The following is an 11487-nucleotide window of genomic DNA, read 5'->3' on the forward strand; positions in this document are numbered from 1 at the left end:
AGTACCCCCTGCAGGTATGTGTCAGACATACCTACATGCTGAGCACCATGCCAGGATGAAGAATCCAGAGACAAGGGACACATGGCTTCATCATCAAGGAGCTGCCTGTAGTGGGCTAACAATCTCCATCCTTCCAGAATAGGCTGAGATTTTGGAAATAGTACAGGTTTTCTTGACCTTCATTCATTCATTCATTCATTATGTATTTCTTGAGAACCAGCACTGCTGTAAGCATGGGAATACAAAGCGGACACAACAGACATGGTCCCTGCCCTCAAGTAGCTTACATGCTGGTGGTGTGGAGACAGATGATACAACACAAGCTTACCACAATCGGCTTATTTGCTCCAGGTAAGCAAATGGAGAAAAACATACAGAAGCAGTTTCTCATGATGCTTTCTAGGAAGACAATAGGAAGAATCAGTGATGTACAACCATTGCTGAGTGAGGGAGTAACATCACTCCGGGGAGAGAGTTTGGGTTTAAAAACAGATAAGTAAGGATCTCAGAGTCCAGGGAACAATTCATGAGTCTGAAGCAGCCTGGGAAGCCAACCCCAAATAAACGTTCTGGAGTATTCTTGGAGTAAATGTAGGGGCATCTAAGGGACTTGGAAGTGTTTGACACTCATCCTGGATAAAATGTGGAATTAATGGATTCTAAGGTATCACCTAAAGTTATTTAACTTTATATCTAAACTAGGTTTAAGTTGTCTTAATTTCAGGTGTGTACATGTCTTTTCTCTCTAATTAACTGAAAATTCCTTGAATACGAAAACCAGATGCATCTTTCCTTCTTTCTCTCCTCCCCACAGCCTTGCACAAGTCCAGAAATCTGCTCATTTTTTCCCCATGTTCAGACATTCATTCATTCTCTTAATCCACAGGCACGTGCCAATTGCCTGCAGGTGCCTGATGCTGCGCTTGGCTCCAGAGCGCAGATTCCGAGAGTAACAGGACACATCCTTGCCCCCGCGTGGCTCAAGGGGCCAGGGGAAACAGATTGGCGTAACTACTATTGTGACAATACTATGCACAACTGGCCCCAGAGCTGTCCCAGTCATGGAGCTGTGTTGTGGGACACACACGGGCATGTCCCCGCCCCTGGCCCTGGGACACTGTGGCAGTGACCACTCCCTCACTTCCTTCAGGTCTCTGCTCCAACGCCCCTTTGCCATGGAGGCCTTCCCTGACCACTCCCCTTCGCTCCCTCTCCCCTTACCCTGCCCTGTGTTTCTCCACAGCGCCATTACCACCTGACAGTACATTTCTTTATTGTCTTTGCAATTCTGTGAAGCAGAGATCTTGTGCTTGGCACAGATGGTTGGAAGGAAGGAAGGAAGGAAGGAAAGAAGGAAGGGAGAGAGGGAGGGAGGGAGGAAAGGGAAAGAGAGTTAAGAAAGGAAGGAAGATACTGTGAGTCACCAACCCTGAGCAATCTGAAAAGAGTTTCCCTGGGCTGAGAAGACAGGAACAAGCAGTTCAGGCAAAAGGAACCTGCAAAGTCAAGGAGGCCGGAAGAAACCACAGTGCAAAGTGCTAAGAGTTTGGAGCAGAGAGGCAGGAGGTAAGGCCAGAGAGGTGGGTGGGGACATCTTCTGAAGGGGCTTGAGGCCAGCAAAGTCCTTGGGCTGTAGGAAGGATCTAGAGCAGTACAGCAAAGGACCGGGAAGAAGGCGTGCTGGAACAGAGAGAGATGGAGACTGAACAGAGGCTTGCTGGCAAGGGCCTACTTGATCTAGCAGCTTTCAGATGGTGCCAGCAGAGCGGGGAGGCAAAAGAGTCCCCAAGCAGAGGGTCCAGCTGGGGTAGTGTCTGGGGGGCTTCGTGGAGGAGGTAGGTGAGCCCTGTGCAGGCCATACCAGAAGGAAAGCAAGTGTGGCATTCAGGTGGGCCCTTGGTGCATCTCAATCAGCAGGACAGTGGGAAAAGAGAGAGAGCGCGTAAGGTCCCAGAGGCAAGCTCTCTGAGGCTGACGGCGCCCGCTCCTCCCATCTCTGCTTTCCAGATAAACATGCTCCCCTTCCACCCCCACCATGGACTTACGCTAATAATCCAGCCAGGAAATTCCCGCTTAGACAGGAACCCACCTTCCAGGGCTTTACAACCAGACCTTCCTCTCATTACCTATCCCCGACCCTGGCTCCCACCCCTCCTGAATTGGCCTTGAGTGGTCTCCGCCCATCCCCACCCCTGCCATGCCTGTTGCCATCTCAAGGCCAGGATGCGTCCCAGACACAACTCAGCCCCCACCTCTCGTTAGCCTTGGAGGAACACTGGCGTTTGCTCTCTCCGGGCTCAGCACTGCCTAGGGGAGAAGAAGGTGCAGGGGCTGGGTTTCCTCCCATCTTTTTGTAGCCCTCTGGGCTGTACTGCCCTGTCCATCCCCCCTTTTCTACCCCCACAAAGTAGAGGAGGGCAAGATTCACCCCAGCGCAGGGTTCTCTCCCTCAGGACTCCTGCCAAGAAGTAGATGCCTGGTAAGGGCACAACCTGTCCAGAAATGAGGAAGTCCGTGGAAGCCACCCCACCCCACCCCACCCCACTTAGAGGGCTAGGGAAGATACATTATACTTATATAGCACTGCTCCTTACAGCTCTAAAGTCACTTTTTGGTGCAAAAACATGAAAATGTATTATGTATGACTTGGTATCACATTTGATAAATTTAGATAGTTTTTCAGAAAAGCAAACCAATAACACCTCACTGAGAGACAAGAAATTCCCTTTCCCCCAAATTTCCAAGTTATTTTCACAGCCTTCCCAGCTCTCCTTTGGAGAGAGGAGAGGCAGAGACACCCCTGCTCCCCAGGAGCAGGCTCTGGGGAGAGGCTGTGAAGCCGCTCTTCTGGTGCAGGCACACCCGGCCCTCCGTGGGATGTCAAATTGATTAACTTCATCATGGTCGTGAGCTCCCTAATGTTTTTCTTTGAAATGTCTCGGCTCTAAACGATCGTGACCCAAGGCAATTTACAGTTACTTCCATTTTTTTTAATGAAGTCTGATTTAATAGTCGGAATGGTTAATGGCCTCGTCTGTCACACATAATAAAACAGAGCCTAATTGTATTTTAAAAAGGCCCTTTTGGTATGAACAGAAGGAACAACTTGATTGAATTGTGAGAGAGGGCTTTGGGGTGTGCTAAGATGTCTTCCCAAGGGCGCCAGACACTTTCTTCCTGAGTCGCCATCAACCCCTCCCGCCCACTCCCCACATAGTTCTTTTTACTAAAGGAATTTCATAACTCTCCCAACCAGTCATGACCCATGGCTGTCTGCAGCTTCCTTGCAAAACCCCATCGAGGGCTCCCAGGACTTCACACACCCTCCCATAATTACAGCCCTCCAGGCCCTCCCACAGAAGCAAATGGCCTGACACCCATTTTACACTTGGGAAAACAGAGGCTGGCTGGCTGGACTTGCTGAGAGCCCCAGGGCAGGGAGTCAGTGCCTCGGTGGACCCTGTTGCCAGCTGGCACTCCCCACCCGGCCAGATGGCCTGCATGCCCTCCTCCACTGTGGCAGAATGAGGCCCACGAGCCAGGCCAGGCATCATGCAAACTATCCTCTCCGAATCACTGTGGTCAACCCCTGAATCCAAAACCCATGGAGAAACTGAGGCCGAGAGAAGTAATTTCAGAGCCTAGAGCTTCCTCCAAGGGACCTGAGTTTCAATTTTGGGTCACTGAGCAAATAACAAACTAATCTTCCATAAAACACAAAAAGCAGGTTCCCTCCAACCCCCCCACTGCAGGGGTACCTGGGAACTCCCACAGAAGTCTGGCAGGGACTCCCCATCTTCCACCCTCCCCTGGCCTGACCACCGGTGTGTTCCAGCAGTCCCTGAGCAAGCCCAGCCTGGAGCTGTGGTTGAGGTTTACCAGTTAGCCAAGGCCTGAGGGTCTGCTGCAGTCTAGGTTAACACCACACTGAATGACAGTGGCTCTCCTTGGGAGTGAGGGGCAGTGAAAAGAGCATGGGACTTGGTGTCATGAGGCCACAGGTTGGTTAGCCACCAACAAGCCATGTGACCTTGAATGGGTGCTCCCCTCTCAGAGGGCCAGCTTCCCATCTGTAAACTTGTCCTGGCCTTTCCCGCCCCATTGGGCCTTTTTGAGGGTCACTGAACATAAACACTGCAGAAATCCCAACATCGCACCATGACATCTTCAGCACCCCCTGCTATGTGGTCACCTCACACATGCCCTGACTTCAGTGGGAGGCTTGCTGAGGACGAGCGAGGGGCCAGGTGGGCTCACAGAGCCAGCCTGAAGCAAGGCTAGACTCCTGTGGAAGAAGCACCCAGATCAAGGGGACGGCTCAGCCCCACCAAGGCCTGTACCCTGCAATCTTGGGAAATGGGGCCTGTCTGGACCTCCCACTCTTCATCATAAAGCCTCTTTTAAGTGCTGATGCCCAAATGAGGGGGAGTAAGGAGCATGTGGGCTCCTGTCCAGTGTCTATGGCCGGAGGGGCAGGCAGCTGGGAGAGGCATCCAGGCAGGACTGCCGAGGTTCTCCTGTGCTTGGCTGGGCAACAGGCCTGAAGGCTGGGGCCAGAACTAGCAGACAGTCTCTAGGGGCAGGGCCCATGGCTGTGCACGTCTGTCTGGCTTCTCTAATAAGGGGAAGGGGGGTCATGAGTATGGAAGCCTTCTAGCCTCTGGGCAGGAAGGTACAGGGAATTAATGGGTTCCAGTCAGACAGACCAGGTTCCAGCTTGCCCAGCTTCCAAAATAGGTGATTTGGACCTTATCCCCATCAGGAATGGATAGGCAGCGATCAGGACTTGGAGGGTGTGAGCAGACCACACAGGACCATCCTTACCCAAGCATCAGAAACTCCTACTGGCCCAGGAACAACCTACCTCTCTCTGTCTCTGTCTCTGTCTCTCTCTCTCTCTCTCTCTGTGTCTCCAGTTTAATTCAATCTGAAAAGGTCAAAAGGACAAACAAAAGCAGATACCTGAAATATCAGGGGCAGAGGCTCTGCTGGCAAGACAAATTAAAATAAGTCCTTTCAAAAAGAAATTCTGGTGACTCTTTGTCACCAGAAGTTCCAACTGGACACAGGGACACATTCTCCTCAGGGACATGAGCAAGGACACGTGTAGTCCTGACTGCCCCTGGCAGCCGTCTTGTCACTATAAGAAATGAACCCAAAGATGACTCTAGCATGTCCCTTGCTTCCCTTCCTCCCCAACTCAGACTCCTTTAAATACACCCTCAGTTTCCTGGGCCCTCGCTTTCCCTGCTCTGCCCCTCTCAAAGCCCCAGTGCTGATTAAACTGAGTCAATCCTCTTTGCACCTGCACAGAGGCAGAGGGAAGACAGTTGGAGAAAGGCGCACAGTGGGCTGTATCGGTCAGCACGGACCATGCCACTGTAACAACCAACCCCAGCCTCAGGGCCCGGCTGCTTCAGAGGTAGAATGTGCTTTCACTTGTAGAATGTGCTCACTGCAGACTGGCTGTGGCTCTGCTGCTCATTGTCTTCACTCCGGTCTCCAGGATGATGGAGCAGCTCCCCTGGGATATGGCCAGTTGGCCAAGGGGTAAAGAACATGGTGACGACATGCTGTTTCATAAAGCTTCCACTTAGACATGATACATATCACTTCCATCCATGTTTTGTTGATCAATGCAAATCTTATGCTCAAGCCTGATGTCATCAGAGAAGGAAAATATAGTTCTCCTCCAGAGAGAGCTGGTGAATTTTTTTGCAGAATAATAACAGTCTAGCAAACAAGCATACTGTCTCGCCTAAAAGGCGTGACCACTCACGCCAAATGGGCTGTTGATGCCTTCAGGAACTCTCCTCCATTTGCCCAGTCCACTCAATTCCCCAACTCCTTGACCCCTACTTTATGCCTTCTCCACTTATCCGAAATGCCCAGCACATCCTTCCTCATTTTCACTCTAACTAACTAATGACTTGCCTTCTTATGTCCCTGAGGAGGTAGAAGCAACCACAAGACAGCTTTCACTCACCTTGGCCACCAAGTCTACTCACTCAGCTGTGCCTGAGTGCATGCCCTCGGCCTGCTTTCCTTTCACTGTGCTTGAAGTCTCCACACTGCTCTCAAAGGCCCTTCCATGTGTGCACTCAAGTCATCTCCTATCACCTGCTCGCAGTCATCACCCCAATATCCTGACATCCTCCGTTTTCCCTTCTCCTTAGGATTGAGCATGCTGCCTTATCCCTTATTTTTAAAAAAACACTTGCTTGACCAACCTCCTTCTCCAGCTGCCACCCATTTCTGTGCTCCTGTTTGCAGAAAATGCCCTTCAAAAATCTCTGTGCTCCATCCCAAATTCCTCAATTTCCATTCTCTCTTGGCTTATTCCATTTGGGGGTTTTGTCCACCACCCATAGAAACTGGTCTTGTCTAGTCACCAATTACCTCCACATTGTTAATCTAATAGTCAGTTCTTACCTTTCTCACCCACCAGCAGCATTTAGACACAGACAAATCCCATCTTCCTGAAACTTGGTCACAGGGATGGCACTGAGACCCTTTGGTCCCCTCGTATTTTCCTGGTCATTCTGTTCAGTCTCCTTACTAGTTTCGACTCATCTTTCCAATCCTTAAACTTGGGAGAATCCAGGAATCTACCTTCTTTTCTCCCATGCTCAGGTCCTGGGTGTGTGGCACATCAGTCACACAACATTGAGCACCCCTGCATCCTATAGACATCAAACTTAGGTTTCAAGCCCCATCATCTCCCCAGAGTTCAGATTTGCATCTTCAGTTGCCTAATCAACAGCTCCTCTTGGACAAAGGTTTAAAAACATCCAAAACTAAACTCTTTATTTTAACCCATAAATCTACTACTCCCCTATTGCCCCCCAGTCTTCTGCCTCAGTTATTAGAAGCTCCATTCTTCAAGTCATTCAGGTCCAAAACCTTGAGTTTTCAATTAATCCAATTCATCAGCAAACTGTTTGTCCCACCTTCAAAATATATCCCAAATCTGACCACTTCTGCTACTACCCTGGTCCATCATCTTTGACCTGGGCTATTATTTTCCCCTGTTGGCCTTTTATTTTTTATTTCTTTATTTTTTAGAGATGGTGTCTTGCTGTGTTCCCCATGTCGGATTCAAACTCCTGGGCTCAAGCAATCCTCCAGCCTCAGCCTCCCAAGTAGCTGGGATTACAGGTACACGCTACCACGCCTGGCTTGGACTATTGCAACCACCATTCAACTAAGCTTCCTGCTGTTGCACTTGCCCTTCTCCAGGAGGGAGTGATTCTTTAAGACGAAGTCAATCCAGGCACTCCTCTTCTCAAAATCCTGAAAGGGCTTCAGTACATCCAGCATCCTTACTATGGCCTCCACAGCCTGTGTGAGCTGGCCCACTGCTTCCACCTCCCCATCTTCAGCTCCCAGCACACCTCACCTGCCGCACCCTGGCCATGCTGACGTCCCAAACTCACCAAGCCACTCTGCCATCAGCCGCGGTGCTTGCTCTTCCTTCAGCCTGGAAGGTTCTTCTCCCAGACACTCACTTGGCTTGCTTCCACTGGTCCCTGCACGAATGCCATTTTATCAGAGAGGTCCTCTCTGACCATTCTATGTAAAAGAGACTCCTTAGTTTCTGTCACTTTCTAGTCCTTGCCCAGCTTATTTTTACATAATTTATCACCACGTGCACTTGTTTTGTCTGTCTCTCCAAAATAGAAAGTTAATGCCAAGATAAGTGATTTTGATTGTTCATTGATATGACTCCAGCCCCTAGAGCAGTGCCTGACATGAAGTATTCACCTGATAAATATTCATTGAATGAACAAATGAATGGAGGATAGTGGAACACAGAGATAGGAAGTAACTCACTCCTTGGCAATATGGGGCCTGGGCTACTTTGGTGCTTCTATTTGTGAGACATTATTATTCCTCACTATTTAGGCTATTGTAACAGTTTTTTTTAGTTTCCATATTTCTCCTAAAATTTTCTATATCTTTATCAATTAATTATTCCCATTTTGTTGTTGTTGTTGTTGTTGTTGTGACAGAGTCTTGCTCTGTTGCCCAGGCTGGAGTGCAGTGGTATGATCTTGGCTCACTGCAACCTCTGCCTCCCAGGCTTAAGCAATTCTTGTGCCTCAGCCTCTCAAACAGCTGGGATTACAGATGTGCACCACCACACTTGGCTAATTTTTGTATTTTTAGTAGAGACGGGGTTTCGCCATGTTGACCAGGCTGGTTTCGAACTCCTAGCCTTGTGTGATCAGCCCGCCTTGGCCTCCCAAAGTACTGGGATTACAGGGGTGAGCCACTGTGCCTGGCTGATTCCTATTGATTCTTCAAAATAATTATCAAATTTGTTTTAAAGTTCTTGTCTGATAATCCCAACATATGCAATATCTGTGTGTCTGCTTCTGTTGACTGATGTGTGTTTTGTTTTTTACTGTGAGTCACATCTTCTACTTTTGTTTTTGTTTTTCATTTCTTGTAATTTTAGATGGTACATTGGCCATTATGGAGGATTTACTGTAGAGACTCTAGGTTCTCTTATCTTCTTCTGAAGAGGATGGTTCTAACAACCTTTTAAATTACTAGCAGATCATCTTGAATCTGAGATGTCTTGATTTTAGCTCTATTGTGGTCTATTTCAGCTTGGTCCTTAGTCCTAGGGTGAATCGCTGAGTCCTGAGATGTGTCCTTACTCTTAAGGTGTGGGCTCTCTGAAGCTTCAATGGAAGTCTGAGATCCTTACTAAGCTCCTCTAATTTGGAAGGACTTAAATTGCCCTGGGAAGCTGAAATATCTCTGCTCAGCGCTTCCAGCCTGGTAGCTGTTGCTTTTCCCCTGGGAATCTTGGAGTTTTGACCCCCATCTACAGACTTAAGGAGTCAGGCAAGGATTTAAAAGGAGTTTATACAGAGATTATGGGATTCCCTGCTCTATGACTTCTCCTCTCCTCCTCAGTTTCCAGCTTCTCTAGAAGCCTCAGAACAGTAGGACTGCCACTTTCTACTTGAGTTCTATTCACAGTGTATTGTAGGGGCTAGTGAGTACCCTCAGGAACAAAAGGTAAAAAAACACCCACCGTGGTTCCTTTTTCTCAAGATTTGAATCTCCTCCAGCATATGTCTGCTTTGGGTCACTCTCCCATGCCTCCAGAGTTTATACGATAATTATTATCAGCAGAAGAGTTAGTCTGACTCAAGCTACTATGTGATTACCAGAAGCTGGAGGTTCAATCTTTCAGTTTTAGAGATTATCTATAATCTAACAACTCCCAAATTTATATCTACAGCCCCATTGTCTCCCTGATATCTAGAGTTGTATATTCAACAACTTCTGGAATGTCAAATAGGCATTTCAAACCATATATACACAGAAGGAATTTCTCAATTATTTCTTTCACATTACTCCACCTACAGCCTTTGTCATCCCAATAACTTGAACCTCCATCCTTCACAGCAAACTTGAAGACATCCTTGACTCCTCCTTTTCTTTACATTCAACCCATCAGCAAATTCTTAAATGAACATCCAGAATGAATTGATACAACCGAGATTTGCATACAAATAAAATGGCAGGGGGAAATAGGTGGTGTATAAATAAAACAGGTGGAGTGTAAAGATCAGCCATGAGATGAAAATTGTTGCAGCTGGGTGATGGGTATATGGTTGTGATTCTATTCTGTATTTTTATGTTTCAAGTTATGTATATCTCAAACCACTTCTCATCCTGGTCTACATCACTACCATCTTGCCTGGATTGTTGCACTAGCCTCATAACAGGGCACACAGCTTCTCTCCTTGCCCCTATATAGGTTATTCTCAATCCAGCAGCTAGAACAAAGCAGTCATTTTAAAATTAAGTCATATTGGCTGGGTGTGGTGGCTCATGCCTGTAATCCCAGCATTTTGGGAGGCCAAGGCAGATAGATCATTTGAGGCCAGGAGTTCGTGACCAGCCTGGCCAACATGGTAAAACCCCGTCTTTACTAAAAATACAAAAATCAGTTGGGCATGGTGGTGCATGCCTGTAATCCCAGCTACATGGGAGGCTGAGGCACAAGAATAGCTTGAACCTGGGAGGCAGACATTGCAGTGAACTGAGATCAATGCCACTGCACTCCAGCCTGGGCGACAGAGCGAGACTCCGCCTCGAAAATAAATAAAATAAAATAAAATAAAGCCATATTATGTCACGCTCAGCTCAAAACTCACTAATGGCTTTCCAGCTTATTAGGAAAGCAAAGACCTTCTAATAGTCTACAAGGCTCACAGTTATCTTTCTGTCTTTATTTTACTTACTTCCCTGCCCTCTTGTTCATAATTATTTTGTAGAATGTCCCCAGATTTGGTTTTTCTGATGTTTTGTCATGATTAGAACCAGGTTCTGTATTTTGACAGAAAACTCACCTAAGTGATTGATGTGTACCTTCCCAGTACTTCGCATCAGGAGGCATATGCTATCTACTTGTCCCATTACCGGTGTTGTTAAACTTGATCACTTCGTTAAGGAGCTTCCACCATGTCTCTCCACTGTATAGATGTCACTTTGAGAAAGTGACATTTATATTTGCAATTGATGACTAATCTGTGCAAATATCCCAATCACCAAATAACTTTCACCCAAGAGTTTTAGTGTCCGGTGATCCTTGTGATCCTTGACTGAATCAGTTATTACTATGGTAGCTACATTATGGTGACTTTTTCCCACATTTACTGGTTGGTATTATCTGTAAGGACATGCTCTCTTCTCACCAGGTAGGAACTATTCTAAGGGTTGAGGTTAGTGTCATGAGATAAAGTCAGAGAGATAGTGAGTCCAGACCATGAGCACCTTCTGGACCATGCTAAAGGACTTTGGCTTCATTGTAAGCACAATAAGAAAGCAGTGAAGGTCTTGAGCATGGGAGAAACATGATTACCTTTTGAAAAGATCAAATTCTCTTACCATTTTTCACCTCTCAGACTGAAATATTTTTCCCCCCAGGCTGGAGTGCAGTGGTGTGATCTCAGCTCACTGCAACCTCTGTCTTTCAGGCTCAAGTGATCCTTCCATCTAGCCTCCTGAGTAGCTGGGACCACAGGTACACGCCACCATGCCTAGCTAATTTTTGTATTTTTTGTAGAGGTGGGGTTTCACCATGTTGCTCAGACTGATCTCAAACTCCTGTGTTGCCCTGGCAGGTCTCAAACACCTGGGCCCAAGAAATCCACCAGCCTTGGCCTCCCAAAGTGCTAGGATTACAGGCATGGGCCACAATGCCTGGCCTGAAAGAGTTAAATAAGTTTGATAATACACTGAGTTAATGAGGATATGTGGCAAGAAGGCATTCTTATTCATAACTAGTGATGGTATACACTGATACAAATTTAGGCGTCCTGTGGTACCTGGCGCATTGGCTACATCTAAGACCACCTAGGTATGTCAGTGAGCTTGGCTCTGCTCAAAATATTTGACTTCTCTTTTAAAAACTGTTATCAGAATTAATTTATGAACCACAAAGAAAAGCAGTCTCGTTGC

This window comes from Homo sapiens, chromosome 18 (assembly GCF_000001405.40).
Source record: "Homo sapiens chromosome 18, GRCh38.p14 Primary Assembly".
In the NCBI taxonomy this organism is placed as follows: Eukaryota; Metazoa; Chordata; class Mammalia; order Primates; family Hominidae; genus Homo; species Homo sapiens.